This window comes from Homo sapiens, chromosome 10 (assembly GCF_000001405.40).
Source record: "Homo sapiens chromosome 10, GRCh38.p14 Primary Assembly".
Classification (NCBI taxonomy): Eukaryota; Metazoa; Chordata; class Mammalia; order Primates; family Hominidae; genus Homo; species Homo sapiens.
In genome coordinates, this window is record NC_000010.11 from 70,146,708 (window position 1) to 70,170,866 (window position 24,159).

General features: G+C 41.2%; 1 protein-coding gene and 1 pseudogene across 2 annotated transcripts, besides 6 other annotated features; one reads left to right on the forward strand and one right to left on the reverse strand.

Moving 5' to 3' along the window:
- Positions 1-581: 581 nt before the first annotated feature.
- Positions 582-23,807, reverse strand: SAR1A (secretion associated Ras related GTPase 1A). 2 transcript variants are annotated; one of them, NM_001142648.2, is made up of 8 exons: positions 23,706-23,807; positions 15,983-16,052; positions 15,151-15,224; positions 14,912-15,031; positions 14,297-14,362; positions 11,057-11,160; positions 7,131-7,262; positions 582-5,885 (listed from the first exon to the last, which is right to left on the reverse strand). In NM_001142648.2, the coding sequence occupies exons 3-8, from the start codon at positions 15,206-15,208 to the stop codon at positions 5,769-5,771; spliced, it is 597 nt and encodes a 198-aa protein (NP_001136120.1). In that variant the 5' UTR covers positions 15,209-15,224; positions 15,983-16,052; positions 23,706-23,807; the 3' UTR covers positions 582-5,768. The 2 variants fall into 2 exon arrangements, with proteins under 2 accessions (NP_001136120.1, NP_064535.1); NM_020150.5 differs by lacking the exon at positions 15,983-16,052.
- Positions 9,567-10,067: an enhancer, noted in NCBI's record as "H3K27ac hESC enhancer chr10:71916030-71916530 (GRCh37/hg19 assembly coordinates)". NCBI's record gives its function as "activates a minimal SCP1, AML or CMV promoter by ChIP-STARR-seq in naive H9 embryonic stem cells {active_cell/tissue: H9 hESC(naive)}" and the evidence as "EXISTENCE:reporter gene assay evidence [ECO:0000049][PMID:30033119]".
- Positions 16,906-18,034, forward strand: CALM2P2 (calmodulin 2 pseudogene 2; annotated as a pseudogene).
- Positions 17,684-17,763: an enhancer, noted in NCBI's record as "active region_3497". NCBI's record gives its function as "activates an Ori minimal core promoter by ATAC-STARR-seq in GM12878 lymphoblastoid cells {active_cell/tissue: GM12878}" and the evidence as "EXISTENCE:reporter gene assay evidence [ECO:0000049][PMID:35858748]".
- Positions 22,773-23,431: an enhancer, noted in NCBI's record as "H3K27ac hESC enhancer chr10:71929236-71929894 (GRCh37/hg19 assembly coordinates)". NCBI's record gives its function as "activates a minimal SCP1, AML or CMV promoter by ChIP-STARR-seq in naive H9 embryonic stem cells {active_cell/tissue: H9 hESC(naive)}" and the evidence as "EXISTENCE:reporter gene assay evidence [ECO:0000049][PMID:30033119]".
- Positions 23,432-24,088: an enhancer, noted in NCBI's record as "H3K27ac hESC enhancer chr10:71929895-71930551 (GRCh37/hg19 assembly coordinates)". NCBI's record gives its function as "activates a minimal SCP1, AML or CMV promoter by ChIP-STARR-seq in primed H9 embryonic stem cells {active_cell/tissue: H9 hESC(primed)}" and the evidence as "EXISTENCE:reporter gene assay evidence [ECO:0000049][PMID:30033119]".
- Positions 23,432-24,091: a biological region, named in NCBI's record as "H3K27ac hESC enhancer GRCh37_chr10:71929895-71930551".
- Positions 23,732-24,091: a silencer, noted in NCBI's record as "silent region_2442". NCBI's record gives its function as "represses an Ori minimal core promoter by ATAC-STARR-seq in GM12878 lymphoblastoid cells {active_cell/tissue: GM12878}" and the evidence as "EXISTENCE:reporter gene assay evidence [ECO:0000049][PMID:35858748]".

Sequence of the window (24,159 nt, forward strand, 5' to 3'; positions counted from 1 at the left end):
CTCTGACTCACGTCTTCCTCATCGAGCCCGATTGGCTAAGCCCCAATTGACCCGACCCGATTGGCTGGGCTTGTACCGAGCTCTGATTGGCTTCCTATTCTGATTTTTTTTTTCCTTTCCCCGCCCTCGTTAGTTTGTCCAACCGGTGGGACATAATCTGCCCCATTCCCCCGGATGAGCCCCGGGGAGAGTAAGAGGAGTGCGGCGTCACGAGGAATCAGAGGAGAGGAGGGTGGGTCCCTTCAAGCCTAGTCTCGTTTGCTGGAATGTGGGAAAGGGAATAGAAATGAGCGCTGACGTGCCTAGATTTGCCCAGGCCACGACAGTACCTGTGAGCATCTGCCCAGGTCTAGGCGACCTTCAGCCTCTGACCCTTGGGATAATATGGACCAAGGAAATCCTTGGCCAATTCAGTGTTTTGAAAATTTAAAAGTAAACCCTATAGCAATCCACTAGGGGGCATGGAACTCTCAAGATTACTCCTAGGATTTTTTTTTGCTGCCAAAGCCCCAACACAAATCTCCGAGAAACTGGATTTGCTGTAAATTAAATTGCCCTTTAAATCGACTATGAACAGTAGCTGAAATCAAAAATTTTAATCATACAGGCCTATATTTTACAGTGTGCACATTTCACATAACATAACCACCAGCCAGGATTTATCTAGGCCAGGGTCCAAATACTTTCTGTAGAAGGCCAGAATGGAAACAGTTCCAGTTTGGGGGGACCATACAACTTGTCTCAAATAGTCAACTCTGCAGCTGTTGCATACAAAAGCTAAAGGAATGGCGGTGGCTGTGTCCCAATAAAAAGATACAGACATTGAAATTTTAATTTCATACAATTTTTTGTGTCCAAAAATAGCATTCTTTAAATATTTTTTCCAACCATTTAAATATGTAAAAACCTTTCTTTGCTCACAGGCCATACAAACACAGGCAGCAGGCCCGATTTGACCCACAAGGCATAGTTTACCATCTCTAGTGTACACTAACATAAACTGCTCTACTTTTCCAAAGAAGTACGCTTTAGGACAGAGGAGGATGAACGAGTATGTCGGGGAGTGGGGGGGCGCGGAGCTTCATGATACCCTCAATCAGTCACCACAAGCTAGACAGTTTACAAAGGTCTGCTTTATCACTGAATTGATAAAATACACATTATTTTTTATTTATTTATTTATTTTTTTGAGACGGAGTCTCGCTCTGTCGCCCAGGCTGGAGTGCAATGGTGCGATCTCCGCTCACTGCAAACTCCGCCTCCTGGGTTCACGCTATTCTCCTGCCTCAGCCTCCCCAGTCGCTGGGACTACAGGCGCCTGCCACCACGCCCAGCTAATTTTTTGTATTTTTAGTAGAGACGGGGTTTCACCGTGTTAGCCAGGATGGTCTCGATCTCCTGACCTTGTGATCCGCCCGCCTCGGCCTCCCAAAGTGCTGGGATTACAGGCGTGAGCCACCGTACCCGGCCATCATTAATTTTTATTAAGGTTACTGTATTGCTTACCATATACAATTGCTACTTAAATTCTCTAATCTTTCTGCCTGAATTCTTTAAATAAAGTTAACACTGCTTGGTATAACCCCAGCACAACACAGGATAATGCTCCCAGTACTCCCAGTGACACAAACCTGCTAGAGAAAGGAAAACGATTATCCATGATAGTATGAGGCAGGAATAAAATTAGGCCATCTTGCCATAGCAGGCGGTCTTCTTTTGGTTCTATGACACAGAAGGTGGCTTGATCACAGCACAATTTCTTTATCCCAACTTCCTAGCAATCAAAGAGTTTTTCTCTTGGTGGAGCACAGGGGCTCACACTTGGAATCCCAGCACGTTGGGAGGCTGAGGTAGGAGAATTTCCTGAGCCCAGGAGTTTGAGACCAGCCTGGGCAACATGATGAGACCTTAACTCTACAAAAATTTTGAAAACTAGCTGAGCACGGTGGTGCAACCCTGTGGTCCCAAGCTACTTGGGAGGCTGAGATGGGAGGATCACTTAAGCCCAGGAGGTCAAGGCTGCAGTGACCTATGTTCATACCACTGCACTCCAGCCTGGGCGACAGAGTGAGACCAACTCAAAAAACAAACAAACAAACAAACAAACAAACTTTCTCTCTCGAGTCCAGTGATTCTCCCTCAACGCTCAAGACTCCAGCATGAACTGTTAGGCATTGGGTTTTTCTGTGTTTACAGCAGACCATGGTAAAAAGAAGTCCCAAGTCACAGCCAGAACGCCAAAGTAAGATCTGTTGAGTGCTAGGCTCATGGACTGAGCCTAATCTTATTTTCCACTCTGCCTCAAACAAAACAACTCATTTGCCCATACAACCCATGGCATCCTTTCACAGTAACAAGGACAACAGGACACCTCCAGTACTTTTTATTTTTTTTGAGATGGGAGTCACCCAGGCTGGAGTGCAGTGGCGCGATCTCGGCTCACTGCAACCTCCGCTTCCCCGATTCAAGCGATTCTCCTGCTTCAGCCTCCTGAGTAGCTGGGATTAAAGGTGCGTCCCACCGTGCCTGGCTAATTTTTGTATTTTTAGTAGAGACGGAGCTCTGCCATGTTGGTCAGGCTGGCCTTGAACTCCTGACCTCATGACCCGCCCGCCTTGGCCTCCCAAAGCGCTAGGATTACAGACGTGAGCCACCGCGCCCGGCAATATCTCCAATACTTTAATACTTGGTTGAAAAGAACCCATTGCACTGTTTCCCACTGTTTGTCCCAGTACTTTAGTTTTATGATCTCATTTGGGTTTTTGTAAAAGCAGTCTTCCTACAAGCCTAGTAAAGGAAATTCTTTCTTTCTCATTTTGCCAAATGTAGCATTTAATTGATTTTTTTTTTTTTTTTTTTTTTGAGCTAGAGAGAGTCTTGCTCTGTCACCCAGGCAGGAGTACAGTGGCATGATCTCGGCTCACTTCAATCTCCACCTCCTAGTTCAAGCGATTCTCCGCCTCAGCCTCCAGAGTAGCTGGGAGCTACTCCATGTACCACAATGCCCAGCTAATTTTTTTGTATTTTAGTAGTGATGGGGTTTCACCCTGTTCCCCAGGCTGGTCTCAAACTCCTGAGCTCAGACAATCCACCCACCTCAGCCTCCCAAAGTGCTAGGATTACAGCGTGAGCCACCACACCTGGCCAATTCTAATTCTGTGTAAAATGAGTGAAACACAGCTAAACTAGAACTAGTCCTTGCTAGCATGTTAATATAGATTTTGCTCAAACATCTGCCATCCCCATCCTGTTGCAGAGATGACCAACAACCCTGGGTCCACAGCATGTTCCAAATCTCTCAAGTAGTACTAAATCTATTACTTCTAGTACCCCAGCCTTTTTCCCCCTCCTGGTGGCAAAATTCAAGTATCTCACACGCACCCTAAATGTCTCTTCCTCTATGCAGGGAACTTTTGGTTGCCTCCCCAAATAAACGGCATTGTTCAAACTCAGAGCTCAGAACAAACCAATGAAAAAAAAAAAAGGAAATAGCGTATTTGTTTTAACTTTTTATTAAAATGCTTAGGATACAGATTGACTTTCTTTCGTAAATGACTGTTTTACTTTTCCTGAAGTAGGACATATATGCACTCTGATAAAACAGAATGAGAAGTCATAATTCATGGGAATTCCTATACAAGGTGCTGATCCTGTGTTTGGAGCTGAGCTCCTCACAGCAGCTTCTTTCAGCTATCTTATAGGAATAGTGTTCCGTGGGGCAAGAAATACATTGGTTCTAACTGATTTTCAATCCCCTTTCTCCAGTGGAATAAACCACTTTCACAAAGAGCTGCCCTATGTATAACCCACAGATTTCTAGCTTGCAACAAAGTGACAAGGGACAAATAGGGGAAAAAAAAAATTAAGAAAACTAACACTGAAGTAATCATACTTCTCATGTCTCCGAACAGAGAAGTATGGGGGACCTTTAACCAAAGGAAATTAAAAATATGCAAGTTATATTACCTAGTTCATTCACTGTTAGCTAGATTTGTTCACTTAAGGCTTTAACCCCTTTCCAAACCAACAACTTTGTCTTAATCCAGCTATGTTTGCTAATAAACGAAATGCATGCACTTCCCACATATATACTTCACTGAGCCTCTGCATTCAGTACCTGGCAGTGAAAAAGTATGCTTTCCCCACAAGTCAGTACTGGAGAATAAGAATGAGAACTCCAACTAAAGAACAATGCCTCCCTCACCCCAGTAATGTTATCCACATTTTCCCTACCCTCACATTAGAATAAAGACATCCTCCCAACTTTTCATCTCCTATCTCCAATCTGTTCATAGGAGATATATCTTTTGATCTTTTATTATAAGGGTAGAATATAGATTAAGATCATCAAAATCCAATTTCACATGTGGCACTAGGAAAATGGAATGCTATAAAATTAATCCCCATCACCCAAGTAGGGATGCCGGTGCTTTTATACTGAGTCTTTACTGCCAATAAGTGATGCTGCCTCCAAAGGAACAGCTCTACAGAAAGTTTTTGGGTTAGTGTTTCCCTAGCTTATTTCTGCAATGGAGAAAGACAATTTCATACCAAAAAAAAAAAAAAAAAAAAAAAAACCTGGAAAAGCTACAGATGTTAACCTTTACTTTAAACACCAATAAAATAGGTGTCAAAGGAGAAAAAATGTAAAAAAAAGAGCTCCCAAACAGCCTGAGAGACCAAATTCTGCAAATGGAAATTTTAAAGCCCACTGAATACATTTTTCATGGATCCAAACAAATGCTACAATACTTTTAAGTCCTCAACTCACAGAATTAAGAGCCCTTAAGCTGTTAACTTTGTCCTGTCTTCCTATTCAGAAAAATGTCCCCCTAGAATCTGTGCAAAAGTAACTGATGCACCTGCAGTATGTGACACGAGAGATGTTCTCAACTCTTTTATGAGGTCAAAGTCACTTTTGATAACTGAAAACGAAAAAGGAAGGTGCTATAGAGAGAAATTAAATTTCACAAAAGTATAAAAGCAAAGACTGGCTAAAATCTGTAACTTCATGAGTAAGAATAACAACAATAACCCATTCTATAATTAACTCCTCCACAGTGAACAATCTGCTACACATTCCTTGATGAGGAATGAACCTAGCTTACCACAGTGGAAACCTGCCACAACTGCAAGGCCGGGGTTCTGCCCCTTTTCTAGTTCTCTGTGCACAAGGTTATGCCACCTACTCCAAGGCAGTCAGAGAGACAGGTGAGCTCAGGGGAGCTTCTCTCACCAACCTGCTAACTCAGCAGGAGTAAGTTTACCCAAATGAGCTCTGGCCTCCATATCTGTTCATAATTTTATGAAGTATCTAAATGTCATTCATTAGTTTAAAAAAAAAAAAGAATAGAAAACTCTGGACCAAGTAAATTGTGAACTCAAAAAGTTAGGAGGGATACCAATTACATTAACAACGCTTTCTTTAAAAAATAGAATCACTTTCTTTTGAATCAACCACAGTGGTGAGACGTGTTTTTCTTTTCAGGTGCCCCATGATGGCATACAGCTTTACCCGGCAAATCCTGCCAGCTTCCAAGTCCCAGGATACTGACCTGCACCAGCACGTGGGGCAGCATTACCTCCCAACAGTGTGGAGAAGAGCACATGTCACCACTGGGCAATGAGAGAGTTGACAGAGACTCTTGGCTTCTCAACGCCAGACATGGTTGGAGAGCTTTCCTTGTTCTATTAGAAAAGTTCATGAGGAAGCTGTGAATAGGATCAGTCCAGAGAAGTAAAACTCTTTTATTTTCACCGTCCAAACATCAGTCAATATACTGGGAGAGCCAGCGGAAACCCTCGCCGTAACCTTGCCTCTTGAGCACACTGCACATGAACACTTCCATGGGGCGAGCATTCAGCTCCTTCAGGGTCACATTCCCCTAAAGGAGGCAAAACCAAGAAAGGCCTGTTAGCATCTCTGTGGTGGAAAAGATTGAAAGGACGATCATTACAATCATTTTATCCATTCCTTAAAAGCAAACCTAAGTAGGTATTAATTACAGAAATGTGGTCAAGGCCATATAGATGACTTCCCCAGGCTTCGTGTTTTCAGGATAGAATAAGCAGCACAGTTCTATTCCCAGCCTTTCTCTCTCTGAAGAGCATTTGCTTTGAACACCCAATATTTATCTGTAAAGTTATGGCAGCAAACCAAGAAAAAAGCCACTGGGACTTATGGAACCAGCATGCCCTCTGATGCAGAAAAGAGGTCTGGGACTGTTTAAAAATAAGGACATTCTCATTAACAAAAGCATGCAGAAATAAACACTCATAACAGGTGGCACTGAAGAAATGAAGAATTCATGTGTATTTAATACTGATGCAAAAGAGGAGAAATTAAATGAAAGAAAGGAAGTATTTCTATAAAGAAACCGATAATCAAGAAGAGGTGAGACTAAGGAACCATGTAAAAAAGTCAGAAAGTTATCACAGAAAAGGAAGATATTTAAAAACTAAATATGCCAAAACCCCAAGCTAAAAAGAACAGTAAGATTCCTGCTTAACTTTATCTGATCTAGATTTTCTCTCTCTCAAGCCTGCTTTTCTACAAGAGTCCTCCTTCCAATTGAAGACAGTAAAAACTATTGATTTGGAAGACTCAAGTTCTTTTTCTGGTTTTATCACTGACTTGCTGTGTAGACCTGAACAAATCACTCTCTGTTTCTTCCTCTGCAAAATGCGGCCAACAGTCCTACCTCTCTCAGCAAGAAGCAATGAGGATAATCAAGTGCTTTGATTTCAATGCTTGGAAAGTGATTGAAATGATTATTTTTCTTCATAACCTGCAAACTCCAGTCCAAAAAAAAAATTATTTTCTGGCTAAAAAGGGCTATTTCAAAAGCAATTTCTCAGAATCAAATTTGAAAGATAATCATAAACTCTTAGAAGAGTAAATCTGCCTTTTCTACCATTTCCTTCTTCCTCAAATACCTGATGAATGAATCCCATTTAAAACGTTAAAAAGAACACACTCCTGCCTCTAGTGAGCTTACAAAATACTCACAGTAAAACTAATCCTAAGCCTGTTTAAGCCTTTAAAAGAAAAGGGTAATCTAGATAGCGAAACATCATGTTTTAAAAACTGTTAATGTCCTTTATATGTAACCCAAATATTTTTCTCTTACCTTTCCTGTGGTCTGTCCATAAAGCCCAAATATCTCACGGAGTTTTTCTTCACTGATTGCATCTGTTCTGTCAATTTTGTTACCCAAGATAAGGATTGGCACATTGGATATTGTTTCATCAGTCATTAAAGCCTAAAGATTGAAAAAAAAGAAAAAAAGAAAAAAAAGAATTAAGTGAGGAATCTACAAAAGCCCACCAGATAATGAAAATTCTGACTTCCACTAATCTTTTAAGGCATTAATGTAAAGTGAAAATCTGATCAACTTTATACCTGAGTGATTAAAGATTCACCTTGACATTACATAACACCCATGACATTAAGTAAAAATCTCCTAAGTGCCTCGAAACAGTTGCAACTTTATTCTATTTATTTACAAGGCAGCAGAACTGCCCCAATATTAACTTTTGAGCTAATCTGCTCAGCCACAAACTATCCTCAGGATGTCCCTCAGCAAAGTCCTATAAGAATGAATGCTCTGGCTACAGAGCCTCAAAGATGACTACAGGAATTCCCCAAGTATTCACCAAGTCCCATTGTGTGCGAAGAACTCTCTCAGGCATTGAGAGGAATAAAGTAGGAAGGGTAACTATCTCAGGCACTGAGGATACAAAAGGAAGCACATTCCTGTCCTCAAAAAAATCCTCACTCTATGTTCACATTATGTTTTTTTTCTTTTTTCTTAATCTCAGCTCACTGCAACCTGTGACTTCCAGGTTCAAGCGATTCTCCCACCTCAGCCTCCTGAGTAGCTGGGACTACAGGCATGTGCTACCACGCCTGGCTAATTTTTGTATTTTTTTAGTAGAGATGGAGTTTTACCATGTTGGCCAGGCTGGTCTCAAACTCCTGCCCCTCAAGTAATCTGCCAACCTCAGCATCCCAAAATGCTGGAATTACAGGCATGAGCCACCACGCCCAGCCACATTTATGTTAACAAAGCCAAGTAAGAACACAATATAGTGGATAAGTGTCACAATGAATGGGAACTGAATATTAACATTAAGACAAGTTCAGGGAAATAAAATGGCAATTTTGGGCTTGAGCAAAGTCTTAGAAAAGATCTGGAACCTAAACAGGGCTCTAAAGGAAGGGCAGGGTTTGGATAGGTGTAAAGGAGAAGTAAGAACATAAACAACGGCTTTGCATTAGGACAATAATTCAGGAAGCCACACAGTACTGCATGGCTGGATTCAAGCATTTAGATAGACATGCAGCGACAAAGTAAATGGATGAGAAGAGATGACTCACATTAGGGGCCAGTGTGAGAAGTGAGCTGCAATATATCCTAAAAGACCACAAATCCAGAAGTTAGTGAATAAAATCTTATTTTTCAGTATAATGAATTCACAAATAGTATCTATCTGTGGTGTTCATGTAAGAGATCATGATCTAGCTTAAGGTAGAGCATTCAATGAATACTGCAGGAGGCATTTTGAAGAAAGAATTGAAGAGACCAATGTCTAAATGATTAAAAAAAAAATTTAAAAAAGACAAATGAGTCAAAACTGCCACTGATTTCAAGCCTGGGAATCTAGTTGTCACCAATAGGAAAGCTAGCGGGGAAAGCAGAGTTAAAGAGATAAAGAGGAATGTACTTTGACCATCTGGAATTCCAGGAAATGTTACACAAAATTAGAATAAGAATGTCCTTCATTCATTAAGCAACAACAAAGTACCTAATGTGTCTAATGCTTTGCTAGGTGCAGGGGTTTTGCAAAGAAATAAGACACAGTCCCTATCATGTTAGTTCATAGTCTGATGAGAGAGAACTATAAAAAAATCAATAAAGACAACAGACATTGGTAAGGTGGGAGTCTAACACAGTCTCAGAGGTCAAGGGAGGCTTACCAGAAGCAGTCATATCTGAACTCTGAGGTCTCTTATAGAACATTTTAAAATTTGCCGACAAAGCGAGGGGTTGAGGAGAGGTACAGGTGAAAAAGCCAGGCAGTAGCTACTTGTGCATATTCAAGGATGGCTAAGTTGTTTGTTTGGAATATAGTTCAAGGTAGGCAGTAAAAAGAAACAGAGGGAGGATCATGAATGATCCTATGTGCTATGCAAAAGATTTATAGATTTTATCCTGAAAATGATAGAGAACTATCAAAGGATATTAAGTAGGGCAATTAAGTCTGAGAAAGTTCCTTCTAGCATTATGGTGCATATCAGGGTCATGGTAGGATTTATATTAATTCACAGATTTGTGGACTGCATGTCCAGGTAGGTGGTGGGTGGGAAAGACAAATAGTTCCATTCTAGGAAAACAGAATCAGTAGTAGGAGTTGTCGAGAGTAGGCAGGATTAGGTATGAGATTAGAGCTCAGGAGAGGTCTAGAGGAGAGAAATGCATTTGAGAGTCACTGACATGTAGGTGCCAAATGAAGGGAGTAGATGGGACCAGCCTAGGAGAAAGTACTCTGGAGAACACCAACATTTAAGGACTAACCAGAAGAACTAGTGCTTCTCAAAGAGACAGAAGTATCAGCCAGAGAGGTAGCTCCAAAATCAAGAGTGAAAAGAGGAGTTTAAACAAAGAGAATGGAGACCATGCATGGTGGCTCATGCCTGTAATCCCAGCACCTCATGAGGCCGAGGCAGAGGATCACCTGAAGCCAGGAGACTGAGACAAGCCTGGGCAACATAATGAGACCCTGTCTCTACAAAAACACTTTTTTAAAAAAAATTAGCTGGGTGTGGTGGTGTATGCCTGTAGTCCTAGCTACTTGGGAGGCTGAGGCAGGAATATCGCTTGAGCCCAGAAGTCTGGAGGTTACAGTGAGCCGTGATTGCACCATTGGACTCCAGCCTGGGCCACAGAGGAAGATTCTGTTTAAAAAAAAAAAAAAAAAGCAAGGTAAAGACTGCGTGGCAGGCAATTCTACATGAGGCTGGAGCTATAGATGTGAGAAACATACTTAGAAATAAATTCAAGACAGGTTCAAGTTGCCAGAAACAAGAATGCAAGGAGTTATAAATCAAAGAGAAAGAAGAGATATAGGGTAAAGGAGTAGGGATAACAAAGCCAATAGTATAGAAACCATCAAGCCATGAGAAAATGCAATGTTGACAAAGGAGAAAACTTGAAGTGAGTCCTTAATAGTATCAAAGGATGTATGCAACCAAAACTGAAGACTGAGAACAGACCATGAAGGTCTGGCAAGTCATTCAGTGGGAGGGTGGGTAGGCACAAGCTGAGAATGCAGATTCAAAAATGTAAAGAACTCTAATATCGCTTTTAGGCTTTCACTATGCCAACACTACTTATAAAGAATTACTGTTCATGGGCCAGGCGCGGTGGCTCATGCCTGTAATCCCAGCACTTTGGGAGGCCAAGGCGGGTGGATCATGAGGTCAGGAGATCAAGACCAACCTGACTAACATGGTGAAACTCCGTCGCTACTAAAAATACAAAAAACTAGCCGGGCGTGGTGGCACGTGCCTGTAGTCCCAGCTACTCGGGAGGCTGAAGCAGAAGAATCCCTCGAACCCAGGAGGTGGAGGTTGCAGTAAGCCAAGATTGCGCCACTGCACTCCAACCTGGGCAACAGAGCAAGACTCCGTCAAAAAAAAAAAAAAAAAAAAAAAAAAAACAGAATTACTGTTCATGACACGTGAAACAGAATACTATTAATTATGCTGGGACAACAGGCATAAATGAGGAGTATCCTGAGCAAACTTGGCCATATAATCACTGTATGATAGAAACAACAGTTAATTTATTTAAGTTTGAGCTGAGTTTCCTCAGGACATTGAAAAGCAATGTCTTAGATTTAAAACATTTTCCTCCTGCAACTAGGTCTTTTTGCCAAATGTTAACTGGAATGACTAATTATTGGCACTACTGAGCTATATTCCTTAAAAAAAAATAGAGGCCAAAAAAGAACAAAATATACATTAAAATACACATTAAAGGACAAAACATACATTAAGCTCAACTTTGGATTCCACGAGGCGAGAATGATCTGCACAGTCCACCAGAAAGACAATCCCATTAATTGCTGGGAGATAATTTTTCCAAACGCGACGTGCTAAAAAACAAAGTTTGTAGTTGCATGAGTAAAAAATATACATTGTGAAAATGAATAACCTAATGGTCTATAAAATGGACAAATCTTGGTCGGGTTTCAGTAAGATTAGACTCTATGGATTTCTCCAAGTTCTGGCCAGTATTAATTCAGAACAGAGGATGCAAACTGATGGTCCATGAGCTGAACCTGATTTTTGTAAATTTGAAAATCAGAGTTTCCGCTTTTTTTGAAAAACTGCAACATCTGGCAATCCCATGCCTACTTATCCACGTGACAATTATCAGCAGGAACTAAGCAGTGGCTGCCCCTTCAGATGATGTCTGAACACTTTTGCTTGACAAAATTTCCCTGCTGTCTTACAGTCAGCCAATTTTACTCACTTAAATGACTTGCCTTGCCCCTGGGGCCAAGTCTAGTTTGCAACCTCTGAGTTAAAACATCAGGATACAAATTACTTGTCCATGTAACTTTAGTCCCAGTTAGTTTCTAGCCAACTTGTGTGTAGGCGTCTTGACACATTCCTCTGCTCAGCCCTTAGGGAGACTAGGCCTGACAAGTGGTTCAAGGCCCCAGGCCAGTTATCTCAACCTACCATATTTAACCCAGCATGCCTTATAAATATTACTTGGTTTTTTGCTTGTGACATGAAACGATAAAGGCTGGGAAGCAGTGATTTAATTGTACTATCATTTCTAAGCCATTAATTTCTAGCCCTTGCAATAGAATGAATAACGAACCATCTCTACATCAGTTAATAATGGTTACCTTTAAAGAGTGGAGCTAGGAAAAAGAGGTTGAAGGAACTTTCCATTTTACTTTCCGTAGTTCTATACTGATTTTGTTACATCGAACTTGCTCTCCTTTTATAAGTTAAAATTTTTAAGTTATACAAAAAAAAAAAAAGGAAACCTCCAGATGTACAGTACTTTAGTAACTTTTATAAAATGGTGGCTAGGTTATTATGTAAAAGTGTTTTTGTTAAGTAGATTTTCCTCAGTCAAATAAACAAAACTAATTACATCAATACATTTCCCTTCTTACTTTTAACAAAACCTGAAACCTAAATTTATCACACCAAACAATCTACAATTCCCAGTTCAGGTATATAAAACCATCTGGCGTCTGGTCCTTCTACATTCTCCAGATGGTCTAGGTTCAGTCTTATCTTGCTCTGAATTTAAATTTGTAAGCAGTTACAAATCCTTTTGTGGAAGCAGCAGAAAGGACACCATATACCCATTCTTACCCAAATGAAAAAAATACAAGCTCCTTACAGAAAAAAAGGAAACAAAATCATTTCTAATCCCTCTATCAAAACACACCCCTTGTCAATATTTTGATATTTTCTTCCAGCCTCTTTTCTTTACTGGTATTTTATGTGATTATGATCATAATATACATGATTTTTCAGGGCATAAATATTAAATAAATTAATTAAAATGTAATTATATGTTAATGAAATCACTGACTATAAAATTATTAGGCTTAACAACTAGAAATGACCAATGTTATATTTTACTATACATTTTTTAAAAACTGTATTAGGCTGGGCACAGTGGCTCACGCCCATAATCCCAGCACTTTGGGAGGCTGAGGCAGGTGGATCACCTGAGCTCAGGAGTTGAAGACCAGCCTGGGCAACATGGCGGAAACCCAGTCTCTACAAAAAACAGGTGGGAGGATTGCTTGAGCCCAGGAAGTAGAGGTTGCAGTATGCCAAAATTGTGCCACTGCACTCCAGCCTGGGCAACAGAGCAAGACCCCATCTCAAAAAAAAGAAAAAAACGGTATTAGCTCAACCTAATGTTTCAAAACAAGACTTCTCCACTCAGTGTAATAACAAGTAAGTAAATCTGACAGAATCTCAATAGTTCCTTTTCCCTACTTTCCCAGAATATTTATTCTCACATCTTAAATGTTTTACTCCTATACCTACGGTCTTGTCAAATGTGAACTGAGTGCCCATCAGACAAAGATGACACTCTGTATGTCTCTAAACACCTGATAGGAATCTGGAAACCAAAGACATAGCCTGAGTAGGCAAAAAGCACTTCTGAGGAAAGCAAAAAGGTAGAAGGAAATGTTCCACCAACTGTCTGAAATGGATAGAATATACAAAATATCAACTTGTATCAGAGTAATCACACATAGTCACTGTATTACTTTTGCAACTTTTGACAAGTCTGAAATTACTTATAAATATTTAATTTCCTACATACTTTCACTCCATTGAATAAAGGATGCAAAAATGACTTCATAACTAGATATATGATACCGTATACCTGGTCAAGATGAAAAAAATGGTATAAAAGAGATTATCAGGACAACTGACCAAAAAAAAAAGGAAATACAGAGTGGATAAAAATAAAACTTCCTGGATTTGATAACTATTATGATTATATACAAGGAAATATCTTTGTTCTTAGAAAATGGCACTAAAGTATTAAAGAGTAAAGGGGCATGATATGCTCACCAACACTTCATTAAAAACAAGCATTAATATGTATTATATAAAGAAGAGGCACTAAAGTATTAAAGAGTAAAGGGGCATGATATGCTCACAAACAGTTCATAAAAAATAAGCATTAATATGTATTATGTAGGGAGGAGGAGACTAACAAATTTGAGCAAAAGGTATAGAAGAAAATATACTGGCTTAGGGCAAGCCTAGTTAAAATGATGAAATAATTACTCTTGTTGAAGCAATACATATATCTTTTAACATATTTTCCAGTTACAAGGTAAATTACATTAATAAGTAAAAATGTAGTAAAGATTAAAATGGCAAGATGCTGTCCTGCTTTGTAAAAATTTTCAGTCAAGATTTGAGTTGAGTTTGGCTATATCAGGCAAATACTTAAAAGTTCATGAATAGTTATACATTATGGCTAACTTTATCCCAGCTCAATAGGGTAATATTGAAGGGGACTTCTGTGTATTATTTAATGCAACTTTTGACAAGTTTGAAATTACTTAAAAAAATAAATGAATAAAACAACTTCACTAAAGTAATAAGATCCTAATTCTAAAATGTAAGTAATTTAAAAGGTAAAAATGACACACTGCTTTTAAAAGGAGCTGGGAGGCACAAAAAAAATAAGTCAATAAACATGCTTTCCACTGAGTCATCACTTACCTTGCTCGTGCCCACCAAGATCAAAAGTTGTAAAGGTCATTCCAGCAATTGTTAGCTCTTCTGATGCTGAAAAATTGTTTAAAAAGAAGAAAAAAACTTGTCAACTCAACAACCCCCAACTACTAGTACTATAAGCCAATATCAATGCTTTCATCTTGTAAAGAAAAAGATACAAGAAGTTGAGTGTGGTGGTACCCGCCTGTAGTTCCAGCTACTCAGGAGGCTGAGGGCAGGAGGATAATCTGAGCCCAGGATTTTTGAGACCAGCCCAGGCAACGCCCCACTCCCAACAAAGAAAAGGAATACAAGGGTGAAATGTTCTTAAACTATTCTAAAAGCCAAAGGTTTCTTTTCTTCCAAGCTATTTTCCACTTCTTAGAAGTAGGTATAGGAGAGGTGTCCCTTTACAGGACCAGTGACAACAGATAATGACAAAGTTCCAGAGGTTTAGATCTGAAAGTACATAACCTGAGTGTGTCTTACAGGGAACTTTCTCGTATGAGTTGGCTTTTGGGACTTCAGTTAATAAAAGAACTCCACCAACTAGGGATTCATCCTCCACGCCTAACACTGACCTTTAAAGATCAAAAGGTCACCTGATATTTTCAAACCTACTCGGATGTAGTGTTGGAACATGTTGGCCCAATCTGTCATCTTTGAGCATGTGAAGAAGAGTGGTTTTGCCTGCATTATCCAAACCTAAGAATACAAGTTTTCCAGATTTCTTGTACAGTCCTAAAAGAGAAAAAAATTGTTAACACATTTGCTCTCTACAGACCAAAGCCTATTTGTAGTTAAATTACTGAGGGAAAGGCACAAACTTTGAAACCTGTATTTCAAGGAAATGGCTTTACCTAGGAACTGGAGCACACTGCTGAAGCCATTGTAGATCCACTCAAAGATGAAAGACATTATTAATGCTTACTACCTGTATAAAATATGAAAGTAGCAAACATTAGCTTTCTGAATGACAGTACAATTGTGGAGAGGTTAACTCTTGTTCCCTAGCCATGATGCACATTTATAGTCTCTTGTTTTCGGGAATAAGAAAGCAGGCCAGGCATGGTGGCTCACACCTGGAATCCCAGCATTTGGGAAAGCCAAGGCAGGCGGATCACTTGAGCCCAGGAGTTCACAACTGGCCTGGGCAAGAAAGCTGGACTCAATCTCTACAAATAACTAAAAAAATAGCTGGACATAATGACACACACCAAGAGTCCCAGCTACTCAGGAGGGTGAGACAGAAGAATTACTTGAACCCAGGGGTTTGAGGCTGCAGTGAGGCATGACGGTGCCACTGCACTCACTTGGGCAACAGAGGGAGACTCTGATAAAAAAGACAGGACAGGACAGGAGAAAGGAAAGGGAAGGGAAAGGGAAAGGGAAAGGGAAAAGGAAAGGGAAAGGGAAAGGGAAAGGGAAAGGAAAGGAAAGGAAAAGAAAAGAAAAGAGAGGGGAGGGGAGGCGGGGCAGGGGAGGAGGGGGAGGGGAGGAGGGGAAGGGGAGGAGGGGATGGAAGGGGAGGGGAGGAAGCAAAGTAAAGAGAAACTAATATTCTTTCTTGACACAGATTTTGCAATCTGGAGGAGAGTCTAGAATCCTTATATGTGCAAAAATAACTTGTTTCCTAATAGTTTTTGATCTATGATACTCAGAGAACTAGGAGTTAAAAATATAAAGGCATACCTCATTTGATGATACTTTGTGGATCCTGAGGTTTTCTGGTTTTTTTACAAATTGAAGGTTGGAAGCAGCCCTGAGTTGAGTAAGTGTATCAGTACCATCTTCTAACAGCATGTGCTCCCTTCATGTCTCTATGTTACATTTTGGTAATTCTCACACAATATTTCAAACTTTTTCATTATTCTTATATCTGTCATCATGATCTATGATCAGTGATCTTTGGTATTACTAGTATAATTGTTTTGTTGTGCCACAAACCACAACCATAGAAGACAGCAAACTTGACTTCCTCCACAGTCCTGCCCCCACCCCAAGCCTCCCTATTCTCCAAGTGAAAGTAACAGGTCTCTCCCTTGAAAGCAAAAGTTAGAAATGATTAAGCTTAGTGACGAAGACACATCAAAACCTGAGATAAGCCAGAAGCTAGGCCTCTTGCACTCAACAGTTACCCAAATTGCAAATGCAAAGGAAAAGTTCTTGAAGAAAATTAAAAGTGCTACTCCAGCAAACCCATGAACGTCAAGAAAATGAAACAGCCTTATTGCTGATAAAAAATAATAATAAAATAAAAACACGAGGTAAAAAAGCAAGTGCTGATGTAGAAGCTGCAGCAAGATAACTGATGAAGGTGGGTGGCTACACTAAACAACACATTTTCAATGTAGGCAAAACAGCCTTCTATTTGAAAAGCCATCTAGGACTTTCATAGCTAGAGGGGAGATGTCATTGCTTGGCTTCAAAGCTTCAAGGGGCAAGCTGACTCTCTTGTTATGGGCTAATGCAAGGTGACTTTACGTTGAGGCCAATATTCATTTACCATTCTGAAAATCCTAGGACCCATACTCATTTACCATTCTGAAAATCCTAGGACCCATACTCATTTACCATTTTGAAAATCCTAGGGCCCTGAAGAATGACACTAAATCAGTCCAAGTGGAGCAAGTGAGCGAGCAGAGTGGTTGTGTGGTTGCGTCTCGGAAACCAGTAGCACTTGCAGCATGGCTGACCAACTGACTGAGGAGCAGATTGTAGAATTCAAAGAAGTTTTTTCACTATTTGACAAAGATGGTGATGGAACTATAACAACAAAGAAACTAGGAACTGTAATGAGGTCTCAGGCAGAATCCCACAGAAGCAGAGTTACAGGACATGATTAATGAAGTAGATGCTGATGGTAATGGCACAATTGACTTCCCTGAATTTCTGACAATGATGGCAAGAAAAATGAAAGACACAGACAGTGAAGAAGAAATTAGAGAAACATTCTGTGTGTTTGATAAGGATGGCAATGGCTATATTAGTGGTGTAGAACTTCACCATGTGATGACAAACCTTGGAGTGAAGTTAACAGATGAAGAAGTTGATTAAATGATCAGGGAAGCAGATCCTGATGGTGATGGTCAAGTAAACTATGAGTTTGTACAAATGATGACAGCATAATGAAGACCTTGTACAGAATGTGTTAAATTTCTTGCACAAAACTGTTTATTTGCCTTTTGTTTGTAACTTATCTGTAAAAGGCTTCTCCCTACTGTCAAAAAAAAATATGCATGTATGGTAATCAGGACTTCATTCCTCCATGTGTTCTTCCCTTACTGTCATTGCCCTGAAACCTTATTTTAGAAAACTGATGAAGTAACATGTTGCCTGTGGCTTACTCCGGATATATCTAAGCCCTTCTGCACATCTAAACTTAGGTGGAGTTGGTCAAATAAGGGAACATCCGGGTTATGCCTTTTTTTAAAGTAGTTTTCTTTAGGAACTGTCAGCATGGTGTTGAAGTATGGAGTTGTAACTCTGTGTGGACTACGGACAGCCAACAATATGTACTTAAAAGTTGCACTACTGCAGAATGGGTGTATTATCCAGGTACTCCCAGGTACCTCACACACTGTTTTTTCTGTACTGCTGGTCCTGTACCAGAAACATTTTCTTTTACTGTTACTTGCTTTTTAAACTTTGTTTAGCCACTTAAAGAAAATGTGCTTATGGCACAATTTGCCTCAAATCCATTCCAAGTTGTGTATTTGTTTTCCAATTAAAAAAATTACAATTAAAAAAAGAATTATACTAAATCTACTCTGCCTACCACACATCTGTTTACAGCATGGTTTACTAAGTATTTTAAGCCCACTGTGAAGACCTATTGCTCAGAAAAAAAGATTTGAAGATATTACTGCTCATTGACAACGCACCTGGTCACCCATGGGCTTTGATGGAGGTGCAGAAAGAAGTTAATGTTGTTTTAATGTCTACTAACAACATCCATTCTGCTTCCCATGGATCAAGGAGTATTTTCGATTTGCCAGTCTTTCATTTAAGAAATATATTTCCTTTGGGAGGCCGAGGCGGGCGGATCACGAGGTCAGGAGATCGAGACCATCCCGGCTAAAACGGTGAAACCCCGTCTCTACTAAAAATACAAAAAATTAGCCGGGCGTAGTGGCGGGCGCCTGTGGTCCCAGCTACTTGGGAGGCTGAGGCAGGAGAATGGCGTGAACCCGGGAGGCGGAGCTTGCAGTGAGCCGAGATCCCGCCACTGCACTCCAGCCTGGGCGACAGAGCGAGACTCCGTCTCAAAAAAAAAAAAAAAAAAAAAGAAATATATTTCACAAAGCCATCAATGCCATAGACTGATTTCTCTGCTGGATCTGGGCAAAGTAAACTGAAAACCTCCTGGAAAGGAGTCACCATTCTAGGTACCAGTAAGAACAGTTATGATTCACGGGAAGAGGTCAAAATATCAATATTAACAGGAGTTAGGAAGACAGTGATTCCAACCCTCGTGGAAAACTTTGAGGGGTTCGAGACTTTGGAGGAAGAAGTAACCTTAGATGTGGTAGAAACAGCAAGAGAACTAGAATTAGAAGTAGAGCCTGAAGATGTGACAACTGCTGTAATTTCATGATCAAACTAATGGATAAAGAGATGCTTCTTATGGATAAGCAAAAAAAGTGGTTTTTTTGAGATGGAATCTAGTCCTGGTGAAGATGCTATGAATACTGTTGAAATGACACCAACAATTTAGAAAATTACAAAAACTTACTTGAGTTTACATAAACTTACTTGAGCAGCAGCAGGGTTTAAGAGGACTGGTTCCAATTTTGAAATAAATTCTGCTTTGGGTAAAATGCTATCAAACAGCATTGCATGCTACAGAGAAATCTTTCTTGAAAACAAGCATTAACTGATGCAACAAACTTCCTTGTTGTCTTATTTTAAGAAACTGCCACAGCCATCCCAACCTTTAGCAATCATCAACCTGATCAGTCAACAGCTATCAACGTGGAGTAACATGGAGGTAAGATCCCCAACCAGCAAAGAGGTTATGACTCGCAGAAGGCTCCGATGCTTGTTAGCATTTTTTAGCCATAAAGTATTTTTTAAATAAGGTACGTATTTTCTAAGACGTAATGCTACTGTACACTTAACAGACTACAGTATAGTGTAAACGTAACTTTTATGTGCACTAGGAAACCAAAATATTCGTGTTACTTGCTTTACTGTACTTGTTTTATTTCAGTAGTCTGGAACTAAACTCACAGTATATCCGAGGTATGCCTACACTTTCTTTTACTGTGTGACTTACTCCTCCAGGCAGCGGTTCATTCACATTCCCTAGACATACGACTGCTGTCATCCAGTGAAGAACAACTCTAGGAAATCAGTCTTATCAATAATGTGAATCAGAATGCCACTTAGATGCACTAAATAGAAAATAAGAATGAAAAGCACATTGATTTGAATGAAAAACATATTAATCTATCCTGTAAACAACTCTAAAAAACAAAAGTCACCCAAAATTCTACTGGCCAGCACCACTTGCCCTGCTCCATTTACCAATGTTATCTCAATATTTAATCATTTTTGCAGACACGGGTCTCAATTTATAAAAAGAAATGACATCACTATTTTAGAGAACCATTAAGGGATAAGAAGAGAATCTTTTCATACATGAATAATCACACCCAAACTCATTTTACAAATAGATTTTCTTAAAATAAGAATACTTATTCAGGCCGGGCCCCCGTGGCTCACACCTGTAATCCCAGCATTTTGCAAGGCTGAGGTGGGGGATTCCTCCCTGACCTCAGGAGTTCAAGACCAGCCTGGGTAACATAGAGAGACCTGCATCTCTACAAAAAAAAAAAAAAAAAATTAAAATTAGTCAGGCATGGTGGCACGTGCTTGTAGTTCCAGCTACTTGGGAGGCTGAGGCAAGAGGATTGCTTGAGCCCAGGAATTTGAGGCTGCCGTGAGCTATGATTGTGTCACTGCACCCCAGCCTGGGTGGCAGAGCAAGACCCTGTCTCAAGAAACAAAAAAGCAAAAAAAGAATACTTTTCAGGATATAGCAGTAAGTTCCCAAGCCAGTAAATAACTTAACTGGTACTGATATTAACACTACTTTTTCTATTGTTTCTCATAGCTATCAAAAGCTACTAAAAGGTTTACATATATTGGTAATAAGCAAAATGACCTCTGAATGAAATTAAGAGGGTAGGATCTAGACACACTGGTGGGTCTTAAGGTTTCTCAGCATTGTCTGGCCATGCTGAATTTTTGCTTTAGTATCTCAGATGCGGTGCAGAAAAATGGAAGGTCCACACTTTTACTCCTCTCCATCAGCAGGAGCATCTGAACACAGGGCTTTATACTAGATATGACCAACTGCATTCAAAATTTTCATGAACAGTAACCAGTAAAAGCATTACCCACAAAAAAATCCCCTTACATTCAAAGAATGCCAGATGAAGAATAAAATGAACAGCTGGGCGCGGCAGCGCTTGCTTGTAATCCCAGCTATGCAGAAGGCTGAGGCAGGAGAAACGCTTGAACCTAGAAGGCAGAGGTTGCAGTGAGCGGAGATCGCTCCACTGCACTTCAGCCTGGGTGACAGAGCAGGACTCCATCTCAAAAAAAAAAAAAAAAGAGTAAATTGAAAAGTAGAGCTGGTATGTTTTTCATCCAATTACTGGGTTTTTATCAGGCCCATGGCCTAATCTGTAAATTTTAGGGCCTAATTAATATTTATTTTTCACGGCCCTTACCAAAGACAGCCAAATAAAGTTTGGCAGTTTGGGTGGATACATACTAGGCTCTTACGAAAAAATACTAAATGAGGTGATTTCTTTTTTGCCTTTTCAATAACAAATATATTTCAGCAGAAAGACTGCATTTATCACATTAACTAATAGTTTTCTCTGGAAATTGAGTCCGCACTTTAAGGAGTCCAACAACTTAAATATACTTAATAAAGCTCCTGTGCTGAAATTCCCATTTACTGTAAATAAGTAAAAGAACAATGTGCCCTTCCTCTGCAACTCCCTCAAACCAAACATCCTCCTATACTTTTCTCAATCTACTGCCTGGAGAAGCACAGCTCACCTTTAGAGCACACCCCTCATTAAGGTCATTCCCACTCAGATCATTTTGGAGGGAAGAATTAAAGCATCCAAGTAGCTAAATCCCGGCTGCTGCTGATTTGTATGCTCCAAGGGAGGAGATGGCTTAAAAGCAGGAGTGTCAAAGGAAAATAAAATGGAAAATTAAAGTAGTTCAATTGCCATGAAAAACTATTTAAAGTGTGGCATTTTCTCCTTTTCACCTTTGCAGAATTCATCTAGTTGAAAATACTTGGCTCATGCCTGTAATCCCAGCACTTTGGGAGGCCGAGGCAAGTGGATGACCTGAGGTCAGGAGTTCGAGATCAGCCTGGCCAACATGGTGAAACCCCATCTCTACTTAAAATACAAAAATTAGCTAGGCATGGTGGGCGCCTGTTATCCCAGCTACTCGGGAGGTTGAGGCAGGAGAATCACTTGAACCCGGGAGGCAGAGGTTGTAGTGAGCCGAGGTCATGACATTGCACTCCAGTCTGGACAACAAGAGCAAAAACTCCATCTCAAAAAAAAGAAAGAAAGAAAAATTTCTAAAGTGATGTAAACATTTTTTACAAGTCTGTAAAGTATTGACTGAAAACCAGTGTAGTACAAATGTATATAGAAGTGTTGGGTTGTAAAGGAGTGATGAGAGTGGAGGCTGACTGAAGAAACTCTTCAGGTGAGCTAAAAATAATAAAAACCCTTACTAGATCCAAAGAGTCGGGTTGCACTGCTACCCAAAGTTAAGAAAATGCCCCCGCCCCCCTTTTCTTAAGACAGACCAAGACTCTGTCTCCAAGGCTGAAGTGCAGTGTTGCCATCATGGCTCACTGCAGCCTCAACCTCCCAGGCTCAAGAGATCCTCCCACCTCAGCCTCCTCAGCAGCTGAAAATGGCCTTGGTGGCTCCTCTCTCCTTAAGATCTTAGGATTTGTACCAACTCATCAGTAGTTTTACAATCTGCACAGTACTTGTACATCTCATTTCATCCCCACACCAACCCTACCAGGCAAGGATCACTGGCCTCATTTAACAAGATAAAGATGAGGATACTCCTAGTTTTGCTGAGTCCTTTAAGACGGCTCAGTTGAAAAAGTAATAGTGCCAGGGCTTAAACCCTCATCTCTAACACCAAAGCCTAAGCTCTTCCTGTTAACAGTACATAAAATTCAAACCCAAACCACAAAATTGCTGGGGAAAAAAAAAAAAACTAAAACTTCTTTAACCCACCAACTACACAGAGGATGATCTTCCGAAGTTCTCTTCCTTACAACTCATCACATCTTTTGAATGGTATTTTAATAACTAGCATTCTATTTATTTTCTATTCTTGGTCCATTGTACCACCTTACGAGAAGTTAAGAGTAATCTAAAATTTAAGGTAGGTCTCTAAACTATCAACAAAACACTATTAATGTACCTAAAATGAAAACTTGCGAATTCCAGGGCTAAATGATTCAAACAAATGTTAATAGAAAAGGAGGGCACCAATCTGACCATTAGCCAATTTAAAAATTTACGCATTACTTGTTATACATAATCAGGGCAACTTTAAGACGCCATTCCAGGCAGATTTGGGGTAGTAGGCGGCTGGCTTTTAGCTAACTCTGCTTAGCTGCGGGGTAAATGTCAAAGGTCAGCCCCATGGCGAATCTCCCTAAGCCCCCTGTCGCAACCGAAGCCGATGGAATCAACAAGACAAAGATGCTCCTGACCCACTGGCTAGAATCGTGAAGAAAACGCTAATCCATGTCAAATGCACATAAGGAAATTTTTCCATGCAGAGACCAGACAGGGGAAAAGGGGAAGGGAGAAGGAGAAAATACAGGGTTCGACCCGGGCCATCGGAAGACAACCAAGCGCTGACTTGGGGGTAAGCCCTGGACTAGGGGCCTGTAGACCAGGTTCGAGCGCTCACACTCGCTAACTGCGGAGCCTTGGCCAGCCTCAGTCTCCGAGTCTACAAAACAAGGATAATCATAAAGGGCTCCCACCCGCCTCACCGAGGGCTGTGAGGCTCTTCCGAGACAGAGGACATGGAGCCATTTCGTAAACCGGAGCGCACGGTACAGACAAGAAACTGTTATCCGGCCCAGCAGCTGCGAGACCCCCGAGCGGAATGCAAGTGGACCCCAGGCAAAGAGGACAGCAGGGGACGGAGCAGATCTGGCCAAGTTGTCCCGTCCCCGCCCAGAATCAGCCCCGCGGCCCCACAGAACCGCCTGCGTGTCACTTCCCCCCCACCCAACCCCGCCAGGGCCAGCCTCCGCTCCGACCTCCCCGCCTTCCGTCCCAGCCCCTCGAGCCCCAACTCCCCTCCCCGACGCGACCCTCAGACTCACGGCCTGAGGGGCTCCTCCGGCAAAACAGCGGCTGGCTCGGACCCTCCCTCAGAGCACACTAACCAGCAGCACCCGGGACCGCCAGCTACTCGCCGGATGTACGTCACACCCCTCCCCGGGACTTCCGGGCGCGTAATGGGCCCCGCCCCCTCACAGCGTTACGCCTCTCTGCCCCGGTGCCGTCCCACCAGCGACTCGGGCCGCGGAGGGGCGGGCATAAGGCGTGACAAAGCGCGCTCGGGGTCTGGCCCCGCCTCGGCCCCGCCTGCTCCCGTCTGGCTAGCTGACCGCGCGAGACGTGGCAGCGCCGGAACCCTGGGTCCGGGGCTGGGTCCTGGAGTCCCTGAGCGGCCTGGTACACTCGGGATCGCGGCTTCCCATTCCAGACGCACCAGGAAAGTCAGAAGTGGGTACCGACGGTGACATAGGTCCTGGGAAAGATGAGTTGACCTTG